This window comes from Homo sapiens, chromosome 9, assembly GCF_000001405.40.
Source record: "Homo sapiens chromosome 9, GRCh38.p14 Primary Assembly".
Taxonomy (NCBI): domain Eukaryota; kingdom Metazoa; phylum Chordata; class Mammalia; order Primates; family Hominidae; genus Homo; species Homo sapiens.
Window position 1 is genome coordinate 74,473,215 of NC_000009.12, and position 25,907 is coordinate 74,499,121.

The 25,907-nt window shown below is 39.2% G+C and overlaps 1 protein-coding gene and 1 long non-coding RNA gene across 2 annotated transcripts in view, besides 5 other annotated features; one reads left to right on the top strand and one right to left on the bottom strand.

Annotated features, from left to right (window-relative positions):
* Positions 1–220: 220 nt before the first annotated feature.
* On the bottom strand, positions 221–25,339 carry RORB-AS1 (RORB antisense RNA 1). The gene is made up of 5 exons (NR_125791.1): positions 25,028–25,339; positions 12,910–13,075; positions 10,014–10,125; positions 4,453–4,533; positions 221–373 (listed from the first exon to the last, which is right to left on the bottom strand). It is a non-coding gene; the product is annotated as an RORB antisense RNA 1 (long non-coding RNA).
* Positions 5,377–5,546: a silencer, noted in NCBI's record as "fragment chr9:77093507-77093676 (GRCh37/hg19 assembly coordinates)". NCBI's record gives its function as "represses an EF-1alpha promoter that drives an FKBP-Casp9 reporter gene in an ReSE screen in phorbol 12-myristate 13-acetate-treated (for megakaryocytic differentiation) K562 erythroleukemia cells {active_cell/tissue: K562(+PMA)}" and the evidence as "EXISTENCE:reporter gene assay evidence [ECO:0000049][PMID:32094911]".
* Positions 23,757–23,969: a silencer, noted in NCBI's record as "fragment chr9:77111887-77112099 (GRCh37/hg19 assembly coordinates)". NCBI's record gives its function as "represses an EF-1alpha promoter that drives an FKBP-Casp9 reporter gene in an ReSE screen in K562 erythroleukemia cells {active_cell/tissue: K562}" and the evidence as "EXISTENCE:reporter gene assay evidence [ECO:0000049][PMID:32094911]".
* Positions 23,965–24,154: a silencer, noted in NCBI's record as "silent region_19950". NCBI's record gives its function as "represses an Ori minimal core promoter by ATAC-STARR-seq in GM12878 lymphoblastoid cells {active_cell/tissue: GM12878}" and the evidence as "EXISTENCE:reporter gene assay evidence [ECO:0000049][PMID:35858748]".
* Positions 23,965–24,353: a biological region, named in NCBI's record as "Sharpr-MPRA regulatory region 6114".
* Positions 24,059–24,353: a silencer, noted in NCBI's record as "tiled region #6114; K562 Repressive non-DNase unmatched - State 3:PromF". NCBI's record gives its function as "represses a minimal TATA promoter and a strong SV40 promoter by Sharpr-MPRA in K562 cells {active_cell/tissue: K562}" and the evidence as "EXISTENCE:reporter gene assay evidence [ECO:0000049][PMID:27701403]".
* The window catches only part of RORB (RAR related orphan receptor B), a 195,843-nt gene continuing 194,056 nt past the window's right edge, over positions 24,121–25,907 (top strand). The window contains exon 1 of the mRNA NM_006914.4: positions 24,121–24,769. Coding sequence (NP_008845.2) covers positions 24,763–24,769 — 7 coding nt within the window. The 5' untranslated portion in view covers positions 24,121–24,762. The remainder of the gene's footprint in view (positions 24,770–25,907) is intronic.

Sequence of the window (25,907 nt, forward strand, 5' to 3'; positions counted from 1 at the left end):
TATGGAGAGAGATATAAACAAACATAGTTACATAAAAATGATAATATAGATATAGATGATACAGATATAGATCTAGAGATAGTTACATATCAATAATCATTTTTATTTTGATACCAATTACCTATATCTTAATGTAAGATCCTATATACACAATAAAAGTATCGATTTAGCTTCAACGTTGTAATAGTTACTTTTTCCTGCATAAAAAACACCTCAGAACTTAACGGCTTACAGTCATTTATTTAGCTTACAATTCTGCAAGTTGGCAATTTGGGCTAGGTTTAGCTGGAAGTGTCTTGTAGGCTTAGCTGAAATGGCTCATCTGTACTCAAGTGGGCCTGTACAGACCAATTCACAGAGTAACCACAGAGATCTGAAAAAGAAAGGGGAAGACCTCCAATGATCTAAGCTCAAAACTCGCACATCAACACTACTACCATATACCTTGTCCAACGCAAGTGACGATGCCAGTCCGAATTCAAAGGATAGGGAGGCAGACTCCACCTTTTTATGGAAGGAGATACAATGTCATATTTTAAAGCTTTTGGACCTGGGACTAGAGGACGTTTTTTAAGCTGTTAAATAAAAACTGATTGAAACAAACAATAGGACATGCAAGTTCACATGACAGCCCTCTCCCCAGGAGTGTCTATGCTATACAATAAACAGTGAAGATTCTGAAAGACATTTCAGGACAGTATCTGGCAAAAAGAAGGCATTCAAACCTATTTGTCAAATAAATAAATGATTTGATAAAATGAATTTTCGTGGCAACTAAAAAATGGTTAACTCCTAGCATATTCTGAAAAACTATCACATCCTCCAGATGCCTATCATTAACTTAAACAAAATATATTAATTTTTCTAAGTTACAAGAGTTTAGAAATATAGTTTTTCAAAAGGCAAATGATACATAATAAGTCCTCACTTAACATCATAGATAGGATCTTGAAACTGTGACTTTAAGCAGAATGATGTGTAACAAAATCAATACTTTTCTCATCAATGTTATCACAAAATAATGTTAATTGAGGGCAGCAGTAGCTTATTTCACTTATAGTCTTGGTTTCTAAAGTCCTATTTTGACATTGAGTGAAGATTTACTGTACCAAAATGAATAGAGCATCTTGCATTTGCTAAAGAGAAATGGAATTACAGTAGCCTCAGACCCTCTTGAGTACAAGCCCATCAAAAGATAAATCAGGCTGAGCACAGTGGCTACACCTGCAATCCCAGCATTTTGGAAGGCCAAGGCAAGAGGATTGATTGAGCCCAGGAGTTTGCGACCAGCCTGGGCAACATAATGAGTCTCCATCTCTACAAAAAATTTCTTTAAAAAATTAGCCAGGCATGCTGATGTGCACCTGTAGTCCCTACTCAAAAGGCTGAGGTGAGAGGATTGCAAAGCTTCACTGAGCTATGACCACGCCACTGCACTCCAGCCTAGACAACAGAGCAAGACCCTGTCTCAAAAATAAATAAATAAAATAGAAATAGAAATTGGTGTAGTTCGCCTGTGTCTCCACCCAGATTTCATCTTGAATTCCCATGTGTTGGGGAAGGGACCTGGTTAGGGGTAATTGAATCATGGGGGCGGTTCTTTCCCACGCTGTTCTCATGATAGTGAATAAGTCTCACAAGATATGATGGTTTTAGAAAGATACATGCTTCTGCACAGCTCTCACTCTTTTCTCCTGCCGCCATCCATGTAAGATATGACTTTCTCCTCCTTGCCTTCTGACATGACTGTGAGGCTTCCCCAGATACATGGAACTGTAAGTCCAATTAAACCTCTTTCTTTTGTAAATTGCTCAGTCTGGGGTATGTCTTTATCAGCAGTGTGAAAACAGACTAATACACTAAATTGGTACAAATAGAGTGGTGCATTGCTGAAAAGATACCCAAAAATGTGAAAGCAATTTTGGAACTAGCTAACAGGCAGAGATTGGAAGTTTGGAAGGCTCAGAAGACAGGAAAATGTGGGAAAGTTTGGAACTCCCTAGAGACTTGTTTAATGGCTTTGAGCAAAATGCTGATAATGATATGGACAATGAAATCCAGGCTGAGGTGGTCTCAGATGGAGATGAGGAACTTGTTGGGAACTGGAGCAAAGATGACTCTTGTTATGTTTTAGCAAAGAGACTGGCAGCATTTTGCCCCTACCGTAGAGATCTGTGGAACTTTGAACTTGAGAGGGATGATTTACAGTACCTAGTGGAAGAAATTTCTAAGCAGCAAAGCACTCAAGACTTGACTTGGGTGCTGTTAAAGGCATTCAGTTTTATAAGAGAAGCACAGCATAAAAGTTTGGAAAATTTGCAACCTGACAATGTGAGAGAAAGAAAATCCCATTTTCTGAGAAGAAATTCAAGCCGGCTGCAGAAACTTGCATAAGTAAGGAGGAGCCAAATGTTAATCACCAAGACAATGGGGAAAATGTCTCCAGGGCATGTCACAGGTCTTTACAGCAGCCCCTCCTATCACAGGCCCAGGGGCATAGGAGGAAAAAGTGGTTTCACGGGCTGGGCTCAGAGTCCCCATCCTGTGTGCAGCCTAGGCACTTGGTGCCCTGTGTCTCAGCCTGCTCCAGCCATGGCTGAAAGGGGCCAATGTAGAGCTCGGGTCATGGCTTCAGAGGGTGCAAGCCCAAAGCCTTGGCAGCTTTCATGTGGTGTTGAGCCTGTGAGTGCACAGAAATCAAGAACTGGGGTTTAGAAACCTCTACCTAGATTTTGGAATATGTATGGAAATGCCTGGATGCCCAAGCAGAAGTTTGCTGCAGGGGAGGGGCCCTCATGGAGAACTTCTTCTAGGGCAGTGCAGAAGGGAAATGTGGGGTTGGAATCCCCCCCCCCACAGAGTTCCTACTGGGGTGCCACTCCGTGGATCTGTAAAAAGAGGGCTACCATCCTCCAGACCCCAGAATGGTAGATCTTCTGACAGCTTGCATCATGTGCCCAGAAAAACCATAGACACACAACACCAGCCCGTGAAGGCAGCCAGAAAGAAGGCTTTACTCTGCAAAGCCACAGCGGTGGAGCTTTCCACGACCATGGAAACCTACCTCCTACATCAGCGTGACCTGGATATGAGACATGGAGTCAAAGGAGATCATTCTGGAACTTTAAGATGTGACTGCCCCACTGAATTTTGGACTTGCTTGGGGCCGATAGTCCCTTTGTTTTAGCCAATTTCTTCCATTTGGAATGGCTGCATTTACCAAATGCCTGTACCCCCAATGTGTCTAATAAGTAACTAACTTACTTTTGATTTACAGACTCATAGGCGGAAGGGACTTGCTTTGTCTCAGATGAGACTTTGGACTGTGGACTTTTGAGTTAATGCTGAAATGAGTTAAGACTTTGGGGGACTGTTGGGAAGGCATGATTGGTTTTGAAATGTGAGGACATGAGATTTGGGAGGGGCCAGGGGCACAATGATATGGTTTGGCTGTGTCCCCACCCAAATCTCATCTTGAATTCCCATGTATTGTAGGAGGGACCTGGTGGGTGGGTAATTGAAACATGGGGGTGGGTCTTTCCCATGCTGTTCTTGTGATAGTGAATAAGTCTCACAAGATCTGATGGTTCTAAAAAGAGGCATTCCCCTGCACAAGCTCGCTCTCTCTCTTTTTCCCTACTGCCATCCATGTAAGATGTTACTTGTTCCTCCTTGTCTTCCACCATGATTGTGAGGCTTCTCCAGTCACATGGAGCTGTAAGTCCAATTAAACCTTTCTTTTGTAAATTGTTCAGTCTTGGGTACATCTTTATCAGCAGCATGAAAATGTACTAATACAGAAACAAATAAAAAATTAAAGATAAGTCAGAGGTAATTCTCAGAAGACAGTGGCCTAAATACTTTGCTTCTTTCCTTAGCCAATGTACAGCTGAGGTGACTTAAGCAGTGGGAGGTCTGTAGGGCAACTGGGGAGGAGGTGGGAGGAAGTGCAGGATACTTTTTAAGCCTGAAGGAAACCCTGCAAAAATCTAAGGAGCTGCTCCCAATCACAATGACATAAGACTTATAGGAGGCTCCACAACACAATGTGAACCAGACTGTGAGCCTCCTCTGGAAAAGCATGGGGCAGAGTATTTCAATTTTGAGGCTATTTAAGGGTTTCAAAAGATTGGTAACAGGATCCACTCAGTTCATAGAAGAAACTATCCCAGCCCTCTTTTTCCTCAGTCCTAGAAAGAGACTACTGAAACAATTCTGGCTATTTAGAAAATTAACTGCTTTCTTTGTTCCCACTGCTTGCCAATATAGCACTGCCCAAGATGCTGAGTATAATAACCTCAACTTACATAGACTGATATAGAAAAATAAAACACAAATTACTTAGGAGGCTTGGTTATTTCAAGGAAGCAGACTGTCTTAGTCCATTTTGTGCTGCCACAACAGAATACCTGAGACTAGGTAATTTATAAAGAACAGAGATTTATTTCTTACAGTTCTGGAGTCTGGGAAGTCCAAAATCAAGGGGTGCATATCTGGTGAGGGCCTTCATGCTGTATCATCCCATGGTGGAAGCTGAAAGGGCAAGAGAGATCCAAAGAAAAAGATATGAAAGAAAATCAGGTAGGCATCAAATTTCTCATTTACTACACAAAAATAAAAGAAGACAGTGGACTATTTCAAACATTTTATTATTTTGTGAATAAGGAAACAAGAGACACTCTCAGACATACAAGGACTCAGAAAGTATACAATGCAGAAATCCTTCCCAAGGAAAATCTTAAAAATCTAGTAAAAAATAAATTAATAAAAATAAAATCAGGCCAAATGTCAATATAGGAGAAAAGTATACCCCAAAATTGGAATAATTGACATTTCCATTTATTCTGCCTTCTTAGGTAATTTCCCTATTGCCCAGGAGTTCCAGGTGGGACCCATGAATTAAGTTTAAAGCAGTTGTGGATACATACATTCTTCTAGTTATGGGAATTAATTCAGAGATAGGAGCTTGACCAAGTCAAAATTGCTAAGATATGACAAGACTCTCCCATTGTCCCTGTGTCTGACTAACAGTAACAACATCGGGAGTTCTTCAGCCACTTTACAATCAGAAGCAAGATATGATGAAAATGCTAACATTTTGCTGAAGAACATAAAACAAGACAACTTTTTGGGGCAATGTGTCACATGTGAACCCATCTTCCAGGAAAATTCAATATTATAAAAATATTAATTCACCCTAAAGTAATTCATACATGTAATTACAATCCTAAATAAATTTCTGTGGAACCTAACACTTTTTATTGAAGTCAACAAGCTGTTTTTTTATAGAACTTAAAACGATAATTCTAAAATTCATCTGTAGAAAAAACATGCTGGAGGATAATTTTTTTAAAAAAAAGAACAATGTATTAGTCTGTTCTCGCACTGCTATGAAGAAATACCCAAGACTGGGTAATTTATAAAGGAAAGAGTTTTGTTGATTCACAGTTTTTCATTGCTGGGGTGGCCTCAGGAAACTTACGATCACGGTAGAAGGCAAAGGAGAAGCAGGCACCTTCTCCACAGGGCGGCAGGACAGAGTGAGTGCAAGGAGGGGAAATGCCAGATGCTTATAAAACCACCGGATCTCCTGAGACTCACTCATTACCACAAGAACAGCATGGGGGAAACAGCCTCCATGATCCAATTACCTCCACCTGGTCCTTCCCCGGGGATTATGGGGATGCGTGTGGGCCTTATGTGGATTATGGGGATTATAATTCAGATGAGATTTTGGGTGGGGACACAGCCAAACCATATCAAACAATGAGAGGCATATGCCCTTCCAGACAACAAATATATCTTAAAGTTATAGTAAATAAAGAAAAGTGGCACAATGAGATCAATAAAACTCAGTAGAATCCAAAAACAGACCCATCTGTGTATATATATTATGGTAAATATGATGTATCAATTCACTAGAGGAGAGTTTAGATTTGTTGCTGTTGTTGTTTTGTTTGGGGAGTTTGGGGGACTTTTGTTGTGGTTAGCATACATTAAGAAGAGTTTACAATATGCCAGACACTATTCTAAGTGTTTTTCATGTAATAATTCATTTTATCAGTCCCACAATCCTATGAGGTAGATAAAAATGTTATTCATGTTTTTGATAATAAAACTGAGGCACAGAAGAGGCTAGTTACTCTGAACTACCAGCAAACGGTAGAGTTGGAAAATGGACCCAAGAATTTTGATTCCATTATATCATGTAGGAAAAGACACGTTTGATTCCTACCTACATTATACTAAATAAGAAAGCTCAGATTCCTGGCTAAAACTAAAGCCAAACTATAAAGTATTTGAACAAAATATGGGAGAAAATTCTTATAAGATTGGATTAAGGAAAAGTTTCATTGTAAAACACAAAACCCAGAATCTAAAAGGAAAAAATGTTTTCAAGTGATTCTATAATAAAAGATTTTACAAGAAAAAGACATTATAGTAAGCTAAAAGGCAAACTGCAGAGTGAGAGAAAATGTTTTTAACTCATATGATTGCAACAAAGAATTAATATCCATACTATATAAACACTCCAAACAAATCAGCAAGGGAAGAATAAAGATAAACAATTCATAGAACAAGAATTCCTAACAGCCCATAAACAAATGGAAGGGTCCTCAACATCAGTAGTAATCAGGGAAATGTAAAATAAACCAACAGTTGGGTAGCAAGTGCTTAACTGAAGAGTGAGCGACTCTGGGTTGGCAAGGGTAAGAGGAAATGACTACTTTCATACACCATTTGTGGCCATGGAAATTGGAAAAGCACATTTTGGAGTCTGGTCATATCCACCAAAAGGTTAAAGTTAAACCTTAGACTCAGCAGTTCTACTTGTTATGGTAAGAGATTAACTTGTATGTATAAGGAAAGACAATGATACACACACACACACACACACACACACACACACACACACAAGAAACTAAAATTACAAGTATGAATGTAAAGTGAACAGTTCTCTAATAAATGCACTAATATTTTAGCAGTAGTTCCTGCTAGTAAGGGAAGATTGTGGAGGAAGGGAAAGGAAATTGTAATGTTCACTCTATATGCTCATATTATTTAATACTTAAATGTTTCATAATATATAAGTGTTTATGCATGACTTGTGTTATTTAATTTTTTGAAGAATAAATCTTGGTTGTTTAACAAAATGTCAAAACTAAGTTCTCCTGTGTGCAAATAAAACGTATTTCACAGTTTTGCCATTTGCTGTCTCAGTTTGCCTTCTCTGAGACTATTTGCATAAATCCAGACAGAGAATTAATGTAACTTTTTGAAATGTATTTACAGTGGTCCACTTAGGCCATGTACTGTTGAGTAAAGTCAAATCTGGTCCAGCTTGTGAATAGTCAAAGGTTTTCTCCACCCCTTTTCTCCAAAACCCTCACTATATTTCTGGTATCTCTAGCACTGTCTCTTTAGTTGCTAAGGCCTAGCCATGAGTGCCAGGTCAGCTCCTAGCAACAAGGCCCATTGATAGCGCCAGGCCAGTTCCTGGCTGCCAGGGGCCCCTTTTCTCTCTCTCTCTCTCTCTCTCTCTCTCTCTCTCTCTCTCTCTCTCTCTCTCTCTCTCTATCCTCTCTCTCTCTCTCCCTTTCTCCCTTTCTCTCTCTCTCTCCCCCTCTTCTCAGGGAGGACAGTCAGCTGGCATGCACCTTCTGCCCTCTGTCTTCTGCTTCTTCCTGAGGTAATGCAGGAAGTGGAGAAATATCTTGAGATCTTCAGGGAAAATGCAAGAGGACAAAATCCATATCCTACGAGTATCTAAGGAACACACAGAAGACCCTGGGTCCCTGACAGAATCATGAAGATACTATACTAGCCTGCTTACCTCTGGCCTTCACATAGTGTAAAATAACAATAATAACTCTCTATGTGTTTCCTCCACAGATAAACTTGTTTTTCTGTGATTTACAAACACTCTCCTCACTTGTATAGAATACTCAGTGACAATTCAGGGAAACAAGGTGGATTTGGACCAGGTAGTAAGGTGTAAAGAGAAGACAGTGGCAGCTGCTCATGTTCCACAAGGCTGACTGTCCTGTAACTTCTGTGGCAGGAGCAGTTGATTCAGGAGTTCTTTCTTCCCATGGGGGATAACAAATGAGAATAGATGTGATTTTTTTCACTGTCTTTCCCTCCTGCAATGTTCCTTAAAAAGGGTCACAAAAGAAATCCCTATACAAATGTGTAAAATGCACATATGTGGGCCAGGCGCGGTGGCTCATGCCTGTAATCCCAGCACTTTGGGAGGCCAAGGTGGGCGGATCACAAGGTTAGGAGTTTGAGACCAGCCTGACCAACATGGTGAAACCCTGTCCCCACTAAAAATACAAAAATTAGCTGGGCATGGTGGCACGTGCCTATAATCCCAGCTACTCAGGAGGCTGAGGCAGGAGAATTGCTTGAACCCGGGAGGCAGAGGTTGCAGTGAGCCAAGATCACACCACTGCACTCCAGCTTGGGCAACAAAGCGAGACTCCGTCTCAAGAAAAAGAAAAGAAAAGAAAAAAGAAAAGAAAAGAAAGCACACATGCAATATTGCCTGCCAACTCATTTTCTTTTGGGGATATTTTCCTTTCACATAATTCCAGTAGGGGTTACCCCTCTAGAGGTCACCAAGGACCCCTTCCAGACCTGCCAATCAGACCCATAACTACTGGGTCAAGGATGTGAATATGATCCAGACCAAGCCAATTGATATCAGATCTGGGGCTTTTGCTGAACTGTTAGAAGAGATATGCCATTTGCACAGAGTTTACTCAGATGGTAGAATATAAGCTAGAACATCTGGTAACTAGCTTCACCATCTCCTAGGGACATGAGAAGGAAGAGAACACAAAGTAAGACACAGTCAGAAGACGGAAAGCGACAAGACTGATGATATTGTGTGAAGTCCTACATCCCACATCCCACTGTGCTCCTTCTGGCCATAAGCAAATAATTTCCTGTTTTTCTCAAGCTAGTGTTATTTTTTAAGTGCTTGAGTGTTTTCCCTGTCACTTGTAACCCATAGAATCCTGACTATGCAGATATGCTACAGAATTGCCTTTCCTTGACAATTAGAATTTCAAGAAACCATGAACAAAAGGAGTTGTTCCGAGGAGCAGACTAACATTTATGTAATAATAATTAGATGCTGGGTGCTTTTGTATATGGCACTTCCTTTAATTCTCAAAAAATTCATGTTGGATTGGTATGACAAGTGAGAAACAAGGAAGAGATGGAGTAAATGACCAGTCTCTGACTCTGAATCCTTACTCTTTTCCTGGCCTAATCCTTCTTCTAGCTCAGAGACCTCCATCCTAACCTCATTCTTCTAGCACGGTAAAGTGGTTACAGAGCTCCCTGCCAATGCAGGATTCTGAGAAGTCACAAGAAACGTTAAGGTTCTAATTAGAAATGCTAGGATCACAGAGAACATGTTAAAACTTCCAAAGCTCAAAACTGTGCCACCTTTGAGAAGTTCTTCAAAGAATTGACCAGGCATGGAGCTTTTATGATAGGGTTATGTCCCTAGAGGACACTTTTCTACCTTCTAGGTTTTCACAGTCACCAAGTTAACTATCATATGTTAGGGGCTCCACGAGGGCAAAAGCTTGTCAGCATTTTATTACATGAAAAAATGATCCATATCTATCTGTAATCTCCTGTTTATATTAAGATATTTTAAGTCTCTGGTTTTGTAGGCCACGGGTCCATTAGAACATGTTTTCTGTTAAGCATACCTACAAAATAATTCTTCATTTCAAACACAGGTCACTTTAATCTACCAAAAAAAAAAAGATTTAGCAGAATTTGCAGTTTTCAACTCAAAAAGAAATCTACAGGGTTCAGGTTCAGTGGCTCACACCTGTAATCCCAGCACTTTGGTTGGCCAAGGCAGGAGGATTGCTTGAGCCCAAGAGTTCGATCGAGATCAGCCAGGGAAACATAGTAAGACTCTATCTCTACAATAGTAATAATAATAATAATTATTATTATTATTAGCTGGGCGTGGTGGCACATACCTGTAGTCCCAGCTACTCAGGAGGTTTATTTAGGAGGATCACTTGATCCTGGGAGTTTGAAGCTACTATGAGCATTGATCACACCATCGCACTGCAACCTGGAGGGCAGAGTCTCAAAAAAAAGAAAGATTTATAAATTTGCTTTGTTAAAAAAAGAAAGCTTTTAAAAACATTGCATGACAAATGGAAGTAACCTAAATATCCAATATAAGGAAATGATTAAGTTAATTATACCTACTCATTTATAATAAATTATATTAATAATTACAAGATATGTTATAATATTTCTAAAGGACCATATAAAATTGTATGTACATAATGACAATTACATAAAATCTTTTTGCATTTGAACAAAATAATGGGAAAAGATAATATAAAAACAACAATAGTGTGGTTAAATGTGATTTTAAATAACATTTTTGTTTTTCCAAGCTTTCTCTGTTGACTATTTCTCTGTATGACTATATATACATATATAACTGTATATGTTTTATAAATTTAAAATGATCATTTTTAAACAAAAGAGCTGAACAAACACCTCACCAATGAAGGCATACAAATGCAAACAAGCGTATGAAAAGATGCTCAACATGATATTAGAAAATTACAAATTAAAATAGCAATGAGATACTACTACACACCTATGTAAATGGTGAAAAGCCAGAACACTGAAACCACCAAATGCTGGCAAGGATGTTGAGCAACAGAAACTCTGATTTACTGCTGCTGGGAATGCAAAATGCTGTAGCCACTTTGATGAAAGATTGTTTGGTGGTTTCTTGTTAAAACTAGGCATGCTCTTACTATGTGATCCAGTAATCACACATTCCTTGGTATTTACATAAATAAATTGAAAATGTATGTCCATTCAAAATCTGCACACGAATATTTATGGCAGCTTTATTCATAAGTGCCAAAACTTGAAAGCAACCAAGATGTCCTTCAGTAGGTGGATAAACAAACTGTGGACATCCAGACATTGGAATACTATCATTTGGTGCCAAAAAAAAAAAATGAGTTATCAGCCCATGAAAAGATATGAAGGAAAAGTCAATGCATACTACTGAGTATAAGAAACTAATCTGAAAGGGCTCTATACTGTATGATTGTAAATATATGACATTCTGGAAAAGGCAAAACTATGGAGACAGTAAAAATATCAGTGGTTACCAGGGATTGTGGCGGGGAAGGGATAACTAGGTGGAGCACAGAGGATTTTTAGGGCAGTGGAACTACTCTGTATGCTACTACAGTGGTGTATACATGTCATTATAGACTTGTCAAAACCCATAGAATACACAACACAAAGTATGAACTTTAAAGTAAACTATGAACAATAGTTAATAATAATACATCAACATTAGTTCATTAACTGTAAAAAAAACTTACCACATGAATGCAAGATATTATTAATAGAGAAAACTGTTGTGGAAGTGGGAGGGTGCATATGGGAACTCTCTGTACTTTCTGCTCAATTTTTCTATAAACCTAAAACTGCTCTAAAAAAATAAGTCTATTAAAAATTATCAGTCATTTTGATGTGATTTACAAGATCATTTTAGTATACATTTGAGATTAGCTTTTTACTTAGTTTGCTTAATATTTTGGTTTTAGGGTATTTCTTTTCATTTGTAAAATGCCTACAAATTTCCTACATAAATTATAAAGCAAAATTATAAAGGACAATAATTTTTTAGGCTTATCTATATCTTAGAATATTTTATAGAGGGACTTCTGTTTAAATAAATTTCAAATGGCCCATGATTTTTAACGATTTTTACTGTCTTTGCAACAGAATTTACTCAAGGTTTGCCATTTGTTGAAACGTATAGGAAATTGAAATGGCAGATTTTACTTAAATCTATATTTATTGAATCTTTAAATGAATGACTAATCCACCTGTAAGTATAGTGATGGCTTTATAAAGTCTGCTTTTTAAACTGTGCTTTTCAAAAATAATTCTCCTTTTCCTCCCTAGAGCTGAATTCATCTTAATCATGTGTAACTACATCCTCCACATTTTTCTTAAGTCCAGGATGCTTGCACAGACATCGAGTTGGTCCCCACTCATCACAGTCCACAGGGATCAAAACCTGTTTCCTTTTCCTTAGGCGTTTTAATGTTTCCATTTTCTGTTCTTTTGTCACTGTCAAGTTCATTAGTCCTTTAGAAAAAACAATTCTTGGCCAGGTACGGTGGCTCACGCCTGTAATCCCAGCACTTTGGGAGGCTGAGGCGGGCAGATCACAAGGTCAGGAGTTCAAGACCAGCCTGAACAACATGGTGAAATCCCGTCTCTACTAAATACAAAAATTAGCCGGGCATGGTGGCACGTGCCTGTAATCCCAGCTACTCAGGAGGCTGAGGCAAGAGAATTGCTTGAACCCGGGAGGCAGAGATTGCAGTGAGCCGAGATTGCGCCATTGCACTCCAACCTGGGCGACAGAGCAAGACTCCATCTCAAAAGAAAATAGTGATTTTGTAGGCTGCCGTTAGCTTCCCATGAATGGGAAGATGCTGGTCCCTTCTATTTGCCACCACTGCTGTGTTCAAGTTCTCCGGCTCCTTCTAAACCAATAAAGTTAAGGTGTTTGCTAAATCAGGTCCTGGCACTAGCACTACTCCCTCTGCTGATCACTGTTCTTCCATTTTCAAATCTCTTGGGGCAGGAAATTTATGCAAGGGACCCCTTGGATGTAGCAGAGAACACAAGCTTATTTGCTGCCCCGAACGCTTCCATTTACCCATTTCATTTATATCCTGCCCATATCTCCAGAAGCAAAGATAGTGGATACAAGTGATCTAAGCAAATCTCTACAACTCTTTATCAACTTATCCCCATTTAAATACATAAAATAACTTCACTAGCCTTCTGTGGGGACACATCTGCACATACCTGCACATGTGTTAAGCGTGACATGACATGACCAATTATTTTCTAAGCCATGCTTTTCTGCTTCCACTTTGATTACATAACCATTTGGGACTCATAGCCCATAAAAATTAATTATTTTATAAAATACTTTTGTTCCTGTTCCTGGTACATTTTGAGTATAACAAACCTGTTGAAGAAAAAAAGAAAAAAAAAAGACTTACTTGAATGTATTGTACTTTCACTGCATTGTAGATTCACTGATATTTGGAAGAAACTCTTTCCCTTTCTAACATATAGTTGTCTCATAGCACTAATTTCATTAATTTTACATAATCCCCAAATGAACAATACCAGCTTTACCAAAATTTTTTTTACAACTTCATAAAGCAATTTAGTTAATGGATATGTGCTTGCTTTGCAGTAAAGAAAAACAATCCTTTCTTAAACTTTTACTGGGGGACTGTGAACATTGCCTTGTATTATTGGTTTCATGTTTGCATGTTGGACATAAACTAAACCCAAGCAGAAAAGCCCATCATTCCCTTTTCCCAGGGTAGACCATGGTTGTCAAAGATAGGGACTGGTAGTTTACAGAGGCCATTAAGAGAAGACCCTTGAGACTTAATTGCCAAAAATACAAACAAACAACAAAAACGCCAGTACTACTCCTCAGGAAAAAATCAATTCGGTCCTAAGTGATCAGCTCCCCTTCACATAAGCCAATAAACAAAGTAAAAGCTGCCCCTGCCCTTTGTCCTCTTCTCTTTTTCCTTTGTAACCTTCTTCTTCCTTTTCTGCTCACCATCCTAGGCAACACCCCTGCTTTTTCTCACTTATTATAGAATGACTCATCTGAAATATGTCCATGAAATATACAGCGCACTTTAGCTACCATTCTGTTAAAGACATATGTATGCCTTCCCTGTCTCTCTCAAGGCCTTTTTAATCCCTTAATTCTCATTCCTTTCCTTATTCTTTATTCCTACCTTTCATCTCACGCTCATGTTTTTTTCTTTTTTCTTTCCTTCTTCTAAGTCCTGGCTGTCGAGTTAACAGAATTTACATTCGAATAAAACATTTTTTCCACATTTTGATATAAACTGACTGAGGTTGTAGCCATCCCACTAGGGAGTTCAGGTAGACTTGCTTAGAATTTTTTTTTAAAGCATGCTGCTTTCATTCCTTTACTCCCAGTGTCCCTTCAAAGAGGAAGATGGACTACTCTGAAATTGGTTTATATTGATAAAGTATTTTTCCCTGATTTAAAGGGCTCATCTTCCCTCAACCTCTCTTCTCATTTACTAAACAGATTCTCAAGCTCTCCTCATCTGAGAAAATTGGCCTCCCTTGTCTGCTTTGATCCAGAAAATTATGCTTTTATTAACATGAACATTTCCTGATCTCTGCCAATGCATTTAAAATTTTCAAATTATGTATGTGCATCATTTATCAAAATGCCATCAGGTCCCAGGAATGCCAAGCATTCAAACTGAGCAACCTATGGCCTGTATGTGGATGCATTCTAAGGGAGGGACATGGTGACTATAATCTTAGTCCCTAAAGTAGCTGCAGTTAGCTGTATAGTTTTTATTTCAAGGAAAGAAATGTGGCGATAAACTCCAAGGATGAGCTCTCACCAAATTGTAGAATCTCAAGGGAAAACACAGATTCCCATCTACTCCTTTAAGCAATAGAAAAGATAAAAACGTTTTGTACTAAGAAATGATCTGATTTTGGTGAGTGTGTTGAAAAGAATGTAGTAATTTTAGTGACATTATAAACATGCAGCTATATACCAGTAATAATTTTGATGCTTGGGAAAAGGAAACACACAGTAAGTTCTTTAATCTTCATGGAAAATACCCTGAGTCAAGTTTGGCCTATGTATATGCTTTTCAACAAAATTTTTTTCAAATTCAAATCTTCAAAATTGTCCTGACTTGTGTTTTCTCTGTTCATTCCAATCTTCTCTGGAACAGAGAAAGAAAACACTACCATAAAAAGCAGAATTTTGATCACCCAGAGATTCTTTAATTTTTATAAACTATGTCCAGAATTTCAATTTAAAAACTCTAGAGAATAAATTAACAATATAGCAAATGAACAGATGACCTAGATATTGGAATTATCTGACATTGGCTTTAAAGTAACTATGTACTCACATGTTCAAGAAAATAAAGGACAAGATGAAGGATTTTATCAGATAACTGATAAATCTATAAACAAGAACAAAATGGAAATTCTAAGACTAAAAACAGTAACTGAAATAAATGCCTCAGTAGATAGGTCTAACAACAGACTTGAAGATGGGACATAGCTGAGGAAAGGATTAATAAACTAGAAATCAGGTAAGTATAAAATATAGTGATGGAAATCTAAAGAATACAAAAGATGGAAACTACGTATAAAACTGAAAGGGACATGTGGGACATGGTGACATGGTGAAAGGTTCTAGCATGCATGCAACACCATCTCTCTCCAGAAGGGAAAACAGTGAGAATGAGGTGAGAACTACATTTATGAGTAAATATCAAGAACATTCCAAATGCTAAAAGATACCCAGCCACAGATCCAAGAATTGCTTCAAAATCTAGAGAGAGCAATTAAAAAGAAAACCCACACCTAAGCACATCACAATAAAACAGCTGAAAACCAAAGACAAAGACATTGTAAAAGGATCCAAAAAATAAGACCCTTGATTTTCAAAGAAGCAACCATAAGACTGAGAGCTGACTCTACAACAGAGAAGATTTAAGACAGAAGACAATGGAATTACATGAATAAGGGCCATACATTTAAAAGGGCCACTAAACTGCTAAAGATACTTAAGGAAAATAATCTCAAAGGGAAACACAAAAAATTCAAGAAAACTAGATAGGCTGAGCCTGGGGAATATCTGAAGAAATTCTGACCACACAAAACAATAACAGTAATAGCAATAGCAATTAATGTTATCTTAAGGAATAATGTTATCTTAAGACGGTTAAAATATATGTAGAGTTAACAATGCATGATAACAGTAACACAGCATTCAGGAGGTGAGGAAAGATTATCGGAGTTACATGTAGAGGGTCTCAGCACTGACTGGAATGTAGTAATAGTTTATATTAATTATAATAATCCAAAGACACATGTTAATCTCTAGAGAAATTACTAGTAGAATAGTGAAAGACTGTATAACCAGCATGCAAACAGAAGGAAAATAAATGAAGTAATCCAAAACTGATTAATCCACAATATAATAAGGAAGGAAAAAAAGGGGCAGTCATAAAGCAGTTGGGAAAAATCAAATTGAAAATAACTGATAATAGGGTAAATATTAAATTAGTTTTGTGCATTCTTTGAGCACTTAACAGTAGCTGTAGAGTATGATGAACAAGCAAAGTCTAACTGACCTGAATTGAAAATTTTGCTATTACCTATACGTGAGACAGATTTTCCCAATAAAATAATAAAATGTTTCAATAGTTAATGATTTTTGCTTGATTGTGATGTTCTGACCATTATGCTAGTATATCTCATTTTATCCTTTTAAGTGTATTAGCCTTATTTTACATATATATACATATATACACAGTACATACTGTAAAAAAACATTGTGTGTGTATTTTGTGTGTGTGTGTGTGTGTGTATATATACATGCACACAAAACTACATAAATAGTTTGCTATAACAAAATACCATAGACTCGGTGGCTTAAACAACATTTATTTTTCACAGTTCTGGAGGCTGAGAAGTTCAAAATCAAGGTGCTGCCAGATTTGGTATCTGACGAGAGGCCTCTTCATAGCTTGCAGACAGCTCACCTTCTTGCTGTACTCTCACATGGCAGAGAGAGGAAATTCTGGTGTTTCTTCCTCTCCTTATAAGAGCGCTAATCCCATCATAGGGGTTCCACCCTCATGGCCCATCTAAACCTACTTACCTCCCAAAGGCCCTACCTCTCTAGACCATCCAATGGGGATTGGAGCTTCAACATATGAATTTAGAGAGGACACAAACATGCAGTCCATAACCAGTAGGTTCACAACCAGCTAGAAGTTACGTTGCAAATAGCAGATCTGGGGACAAAATCAGTTTTTGTTTGTTTTTGTTGTTGTCCTGTTTTATTTACTCCCAAACCAATACATTTAATCATCACTATATGTCAGTTGCCTTGAAAGGAAAAACAATATTTCATGCATTTTTTTAGTGTGGCCATAATGAGATCTGGAGATATCTTAGCAAATATGTGAACCAAGTTTTCAAAAAGAAAGAATTATTACTTATATCAATTTATTTGTGGCAATTAGTCAAAGTTATCAATTCACTGAACAAACTTACTAAGCATGTGCTACCTGTCAGACATCATTCGAGGCACTGATAATATAATTCAAAATACAAGAAGTGGTTACTGCCTCCTGCAGCTATTAATAATATTAATTATAAATTAATTGAGTTCCTTCATTAGATAATAAAAGAAAACAAACAAATAATCATAAATTCTGATATACACTATAAAGAAAACAGAGATTTTTTGATAAAGAATTATAAACTCTTAGGTGGTATTATGAGAGACGATTTCTCTGAGACCGTAACATTTAAGCCAGCAGAGCTTTATAATCAACAGGATAATTCTATTATGCACTGCCCGAACAGGAACACATTCAAAAATGAAAGGGACACTTTTAATAATTATGCAGGGTTTCAGGGCAAACTATAATATGTATGCACCCTACTTCTAAGCCACGGTAAGGAGTATGGGTTATTTTCTAAATGCAATAGGAAGACACTAATGTGTTTTAGCAGGGCAATGTTTATTATCTGATTTTAAAAGTTCTAATGCCAGTTGGGAAATTAATGGGGTGAGAGGCAAGAATAGAGATAGAGAAAATATTCTAAGAATATTATACCCATCTAGGCAGGAGAGGAACAGTAGCTTAGATTGATAAGGCAGTGAAGGTATAGAAAAGTAGCCAATTCAAGATAAATTTTAAAGACTATCAGCAAGAATAGTGAAGTTATATAAAATATTACTTTTGCATTTTAATTCATATTTTAAGAAATATACAAGAAATTATCCTAAAGCCTTGTCAGTTGATCTGGAAAGGAACTTCTCAACCTTATTTACAGAGCTGTAAACATGAAGAAGAAATTATTCACCTGTATCAAAAACCATAAAGTAAAAAAAAAAAGAAATTAGCCACTAAATTATCTTCCCTTTCTTCTCTACCAACTTCACTTTTAGGGTTTTTTAAAATCTAATGTTTATCAATTTGTAAGTTTGCATACATTTGTTATGAAGGCTACTAATCTTTCATCTGTCACATGGGCAGCAAATATTTTCTCCAGCCTATTGATTTTGTTTTGGGGTCTTTGCCATTTAAAATACTTACTTTGTGTATAGGAAAATATACCTAACCTTATGGTGTCTGGGTTTCCTGATGCAGACAAGTTTGTCCCTATTTAAAATATCATATAAATATACACAAAAATGTAATTCTATTATTTTATGTACTTATTTGTTCACATTTAAATCTAATATTGGCTCTATTCTCCTTGGTGTTTCTGAATGTCATAAATTTTTTGAGACAGAGTCTCGCTCTGTCACCTGGAGTGCAGTAGTGCAACCTCAGCTCACTGCAACCTCCACTTCAGCCTCCCAAGTAGCCAGGATTGCAGATGCCCCCCACCACACCTGGCTAATTTTTGTATTTTTGGTAGAGACGGGGTTTCACCACATTGGCCAGGCTGGTCTTGAACTCCCGGCCTCAAGTGATCCACCCGCCTCGGCCTCCCAATGTGCTGGATTACAGGCGAAAACCAACACTCCTGGCCTGAATGTCATAAATCTTTACTTTCACCTCTAACCAATTCCCAAATCTCCAGTTCTATCTATAGCCAACTAGCTGCTGTACATTGTCACTGATATGCAAAATTGAAAATTAATGTCAACATTTTCCCCTATTTAAACAAGAATCTGCTCTTCCTTCCTTATATACTTATTAGATTATTGGGATAGGCATTCTATAAGCCTCCTACTGGTGAAGCTTTGGTTTGACTTCTCCCTCCCATTACCCAACACTCTGCCCATCAGCACCACTGGTCTAATCATGCATTAGATGTCATAGCTTCTGCCTGCAAAATGTGTCGTGCAACCAACCTTTTCATTTTTCCCCCTTTTTCCTGGTGCCAATTTAATTCAGCCTTACATTATTTACAACCTGAAATATTTATTGCAGAAGTATTTTCCTAAACTCCATGGTGGACCAAATTAGGCCATTACTGTTTCATAAATTTTTCACAATGTCCTTTTATTTTTAAAGTCAAAATTCACTCTTCTTTATTTAATGTCATTTAGTGATGAGAATGTACATATGTAATACTGTGTGGTGGACGAGGGTTTAAATGTCCATTTATTTATTCACAAGTGTATTTTAAACATCTACTATTTATCAGGCAAGAGACTCTAGATTCTGTGGATTGAGCACTGAAAAAATAAAATAAAATGAAGAAAGTTCCTGCACTCACGAAACACGTTTTAGTGGCTACACCTGGGTTTGAATCTTGGATCCAGCATTTTACGATTTGTGATCTTAGGTGAGTTAACTTTTTTAAGCCTCTGTTCTTTTAGCCATAAAATAATTTTTTAAAAGATGGGGAGGAGGAAGAGATATAATGTATAACATGTAGACTCTTGTAAGAAATAGAAATTAGATAGGTTGAGAAATCATGTGATTCATCCAATAAATGTTGGCTCTTGTTTTTTCTGACCTGTATGTTTTGTCTTTGTTCCAAAGCTAGCCTTACCTCTCCCACATACTGGGGTTAATTCATGCTTTGGCCCTTATCACCTTTTCCAATTTATTTCAAAATTACATGCTCTATTTTAATATTTGCTTTCTTTTTTTTATTTTGAAAACTTATTGAACTTGCATCTACACTTTAAAATGAAGCAGAACTTAAAGAACTCAAAGATTATGAAGAAGACTCAGTACCTGGGAATAAAATTGAGAATAGGGCTGGGTGTGGTGGCTCACGTCTGTCATCTCAGCACTTTCGGAGGCTGAGGCAGGCAGATCACTTGAGGTCAGGAGTTTGAGAACAGTGTGGCCAACATGGTGAAACCCCGTCTCTACTAAAATACAAAAATTAGCCAAGCATGGTGGTGGTCACCTGTAATCCCAGCTACTCAGGAGGCTGAGGCAGGAGAATCACTTGAACCCAAGAGGTAGAGGCTGCAGTGAGCTGAGACTGTGCCACTGCACTCCAGCCTCCAGCGAGACTTCCTTTCAAAGAATAAATAAATTAATTAAGAATAGTAATAAATATGAAAATAACTAAATTTTAGCTTCCTTTTATGACTATATAACCAATCTCAACCATTATTTTTTGCTTCCCCAAATTAGGAGAGTTTAAAATGCAGATTCTCCCCACTCTCCTCTTCCCATTCAATAGAAACTGAGAAAGAAGGATCTTATTCAGGTCTTCACTCCATTTGTGATTCATATTCAGTGGCTGAAAGGTTAGAAAGCATTCACTCCACCAATAATGATCAAGCACCCATAAAGTACCAGGAGCTCTTACAAACTCTAGGGAAATCCTGGCTCCTGTTGTCATGAATTTTGCATTCTCAGGTAGGAAATGTGGCTCTGATGCCTGCTGGGGCAGTGGTAGCAACCTTTAGTCCATGTGAATGCAGGCATCCCTTGGTATGCACGGGGGATTGGTTCCAGGACCTCCCACCGATACCAAAACCCACAGATATTCAAGTTTCTGCTATAAAATGGTGTGTAGTATTTGCATGTAACCTATGCACATCTTCCTATATACTTTGCATCATCTCTAGATTACTTATAATGCCAATGTCAACACTATATAAATAATTATTATACTGTATTGTTTAGGGAACAATGACAAGAAAAATATCTGTACATGTTCAGTACAGACACAATTTATTTTTGCTCTGCTCTTGGTTGAATCCACAGTTGTGGAACCCATGGACATAAAGGCCAACTGTACACTTAGAGCTACAGAGGATCTTGGAGGTAATCTAGACAATTTCTACCCTAGTATAGAAATCTGTATACTAGAGCATCTCTAACAGAACCTTTCATTCAACCCTTTTTTGGATGCCTTCAGCAACAGGGAACTCAGTACTTCCCTTCCCACTTGTAAAAGGTTTGAATGTTAAAAGTTCTTACATTTTTCTGGCTTTTCTAATATTTAATAGCAGCTTTATATCTCTTTCCCAATTTTCACAGCCACACAGCTCCCTAAATAGAGTTAAACATAACCAATCTTTCAGTCATTCCTAAAAGTAACATTGTTATCAGTATTGCTAATGTCCATTCAAGAGTCTTAATTATTTAAAATATTCCCTGACCAGTGAATATTCTGACTTATCAGCTCAGAATAACATGAACTATGACTTCCTGTTTAAGCCTTTTAGGATTGAAATAATCCTAAATGCCATGGTCACCCTACCTGGTTGGCTTATATTAAAACTTTGCCTCTTTCAGGATATTTGTTGTCATTCCTATTCTGTGGTACAGCTCAACCTGAGGGGTGCTAATGTGTCAGAAAAACAGGTAAGCAGGCAAGCCTAAGTGGAATCTGATGTCAATTCTTGAGATTGAGGACAGTGCTATGTGACTGATTGTCATTTAAATTAATCAACATGCAACTGTCAACTTAGAAAATCCTTCAGGCCCAGAGTGAAAAGCAGAGTTTCAAGCTTATAGGAAACCAGACATAATCATTCAAATAAAATTACTGATACCGTACTTCATATGAGCTAGGACATTACAGTAATGTATTATTATTATGCCACTTGAAATATGATTATTTGCTGGCAGATAGGTTACAAAACCATCAGATTATATATATGTGCTTTGTGAGTTCTTAGAAAATACTGACTTCTTTCATTCAAATTCTTAATATTTATTTTAAATAAATGGGCTCCATTCAGTGAAATAAATGTGAAAATTATTAGAAATATTCAACAAACCAGTTTTTAAATTTTTAGAAAGATCCAAAATGTCCCAGGCCGCCACATTATAACCAATGATTAGCATTTAAAGAGAAAATACATACTTTTGTATCACCATATATAGAGATTATATACATAGTTTTGAAAAATGAAATAATATAGTCTTCTAATTAATAATTTCTCCAAAAATACTCAGAAGGAATTAAGAAATATGTTCTAAGCAAAATTATGCCTTGCTGAAACCACAAAATAAAGAGAATATAAAAATGTATGGGGGGGTAAATACTTTTTATACACGTGTTGACTACCTTTTTCAAGGATTACAGATATTGCAGCATTAAAAAAAAATTCAGAATTCAATAAATGTTTAGAAAGTTAAAATTACATAAATGTTTAAATTTTTGGATTTTGAAATTCCTGTTCACTCTAAAGAGAAATAGAAATCTAAAATGATAACAACAACAATAATAATTAGACAATGTTTACAAAGCCTTTGGAATTTTCAATATTCTTGTGTCTCTGCTTGAAGCAACAAAATTAAAATGATATAGTCACAATTTGTTTCTTGACTATTTTATATTCAGTAATTTTTAATGAAGCAACTAAATTAGGCATAACTTTGTACAGCTTTAACATAGTTATGATGAATATATTTTACTTGATTAAAAATGATAAAACCAGGGAGCCTTAAATATTATCTTAAAAGATTAACTACTGTGTCAATTACAAATCTAGGAGAAAGATATTTATAAAGGAATAACTATTCTAAACAGTAACTTCCTTTTGTTCATTTCATTTAATTAATGACTCAATCAACTTTCACTCTTAATACTAAAATTTTCCTAAATTACACATTGGTTTGCAAATGGGATGGCATATAGCAGGGCTACGTCAATTTAATACTGGTGAAAATTCAGCAGATAATTCATTTTTCATTTAATCAGGAAGGAAAAAACTACTTGGCAGTGTAGAGCGACCTAATTAACTAAATAACTGCCAATTCTACATTGTACTTTGTGTTACATGACATATCATGAATAAATACCAGTCAAAAATCAAATTATTTGGATACTTAAATGATGATGAGGCCTGCTGTGCCAACAGGTATGCTAATGAGTAGACATCTCCCAGCCTCAAGACTGAGTGAATGAGGCAAATATTTTCACCTCCCAATCTTTTAGGGTGTTCAATTAACTCAAGTATTTAAGAAGTTCCCTACTATTGGGAAGGAAGTAGATGTAATCATCTATATGCTTATTTTGTCAACTGAGTTGGAAAAACTTGCAAAGGAACAGTTTGGATATATGTATTAGATTTTTATCAAAATACAAATAAATGGTCATAGATGACAATTTTCACCTAAGGAATACAAGTAAGTTTATCTATGTTCAGTTACCAATCGCCTCTAACTAAAGTTAACAATGTCTTCCTTCTAAAACCTTTCTAAAGAGCACCCTGCAATCACACCTTCTAGCAACAGCCATTTCTCTTGAATTAGTAAGGTGGCTACACCGCCAATTTGAGCTGTTCTCCTTCAGTCCTGTAGTCCATCGCCAGGGGAGTCTCCAAATGCTAATAAAAATCAATTTCCCAGACAAAAGAACATATACACGTTTTTTTCTTTCTTTCTTTCTTTTTTTTTTTTTTTTAGAAGAGGGTCAGGGAGCATCTGACGGACGTTTTTAAAGGAAGGGGACAGCTACTTCCATGGGACTGCATTTTAGTTGTGCTAAAAGTGATGAAAGTGGGTTTGCATTATTCTACCACCAACACCCAAACCACCTGCCCACGGAAACCCCCGCCGGAGACCGAAGTTTACCCAAATAGCGCTCGGCAAAGCGCTGCCATAAATTCAAAACTAACTCTGCCGGGCCCGCGGGGGTTGCGAGACAGGGACCGAACGTGAAACCCGGGGAGCCCCGCGTCTCTTGCCTCCGAAGGTTTTCCGTGATCAGTGTCCCCTTCTCTGCTGGAGTCGGAAGTGCCTGTCACCTGCGGATCTGCCCGACTCTCCCGGTCGGCCCTTCTTCTCTGCCCAGTTCGGACAGTCTCGAATTCCCCGTCGCAGCCCCGGCCACCTCGGACTCCCTGGTCCCCAGCCCCCGCCCCACCCCCCGCCTCCACCACGTCCCCTCCCCGCGGTCCCAGCCTCTCCAGGCGCTGCTGGGCTCTGATTGGCGGCTGCGCTGACAGCAGGCGGGGCCTGGAAGTCGCGGCCAAGCCCGCCCTCGCGTATAAGCCCCTCTCAGCGCTCTCTCTCCATCTCTCCCCTCTCTTTCTCTCTCGCTGCTCCCTTCCTCCCTGTAACTGAACAGTGAAAATTCACATTGTGGATCCGCTAACAGGCACAGATGTCATGTGAAAACGCACATGCTCTGCCATCCACACCGCCTTTCTTTCTTTTCTTTCTGTTTCCTTTTTTCCCCCTTGTTCCTTCTCCCTCTTCTTTGTAACTAACAAAACCACCACCAACTCCTCCTCCTGCTGCTGCCCTTCCTCCTCCTCCTCAGTCCAAGTGATCACAAAAGAAATCTTCTGAGCCGGAGGCGGTGGCATTTTTTAAAAAGCAAGCACATTGGAGAGAAAGAAAAAGAAAAACAAAACCAAAACAAAACCCAGGCACCAGACAGCCAGAACATTTTTTTTTCACCCTTCCTGAAAACAAACAAACAAACAAACAATCATCAAAACAGTCACCACCAACATCAAAACTGTTAACATAGCGGCGGCGGCGGCAAACGTCACCCTGCAGCCACGGCGTCCGCCTAAAGGGATGGTTTTCTCGGCAGAGCAGCTCTTCGCCGACCACCTTCTTCACTCGTGCTGAGCGGGATTTTTGGGCTCTCCGGGGTTCGGGCTGGGAGCAGCTTCATGACTACGCGGAGCGGGAGAGCGGCCACACCATGCGAGGTAAGCGAGTCTGCGGGCACCGAGGCTCCCCGAGTCCGGCCAACTCCAGCCAGACGGGGAGATGGGGGAGGGGAGGGCACCCAGCAGAAAGGGAAAGAGGTTGCCCAGGCGCAGTTCCCCGAATTCGCTCTCGCAGGTGGGGCTGCAAATGGCCTGGGCGTAGAAAGTTGCGGGAAGGTGTTGATGTCTTTCGGGAGTTCTGGAGGGACGCGGGAGGGCGCTTTTTTGGAGAGGGGAGACAGGCTAGTTGGTTCTTACCAGTCCTTGAGTTGCACTGAATCTTTTTTGCTTGTCGCTCTCGGGTGCGGAAGCGGACGCGGGATGGAGAAAGCCGAAAGAGGGATGCCTCTGGACAGGAGCAGTTTGGAAGCGCCCGGCGCGCAGTGGTCGCCGGCCGGGTTTGGGCGCGCGGGGCGCACCGGCCGGGGGCAGGGTGGACACGCGCGGGCACACACTCGCCAGGTTACGAGGCCCACTAAGCGTCCTGGCCAGCAGGCATGTCCCTTCGCTGGAGTAGCAAGCAGAAGAGCAGTGCTGCGAGGCTGGACGCGGCTGAGGAAACAGTTAGTTCCCCGGCACGCGGCTGAGGAAACAGTTCTGCGGCGCGCGCCTTCGTGCCGGCGCTGCGCCCTGGCCAGGTCCTCGTGCCCGAGCCCGCGCGGCCCAGGGAGTAGTGCGACCCCGGAAAAGTTGTAATGAGAAAGTTCTGGAGGCTTGGAAAGGCCACACTGCTCACAGTCGGAGAGTCATGGGCTCCGGCTCTTTTGTCAGATAAAGGGCCGGTAGTGGAAGGAGGTGCTGGTGCACCCTCGGGCCAGGACCCTCGCAGTCGCAGGCGGTGGCGGCGGCGGCGGCGGGACCCCGGGGCGAGCTGGGGTCTGCAGGGATGCGCGCCAGGGACTGTAGCGTTACGCTTGCTCCGGCTGGACTCTGGGCCTCTCGAAGGGCTGGAGGGTGGGTTTCGGGGAGTCACTTGGTCTCCTCTCCTGCCTTGCCGGAGACCTCAGGTTTCCTTCGCGCTGTGCTCGGCCTTTCTTCACTCTTTTACTGAAGAGCCAGGCGGGTGTCCGCTTGACATGGGGATCTGTGCAAGCTCTGGGCACCCACCCCCACTCCCAGTCCCTCTTCCTGGCCACAC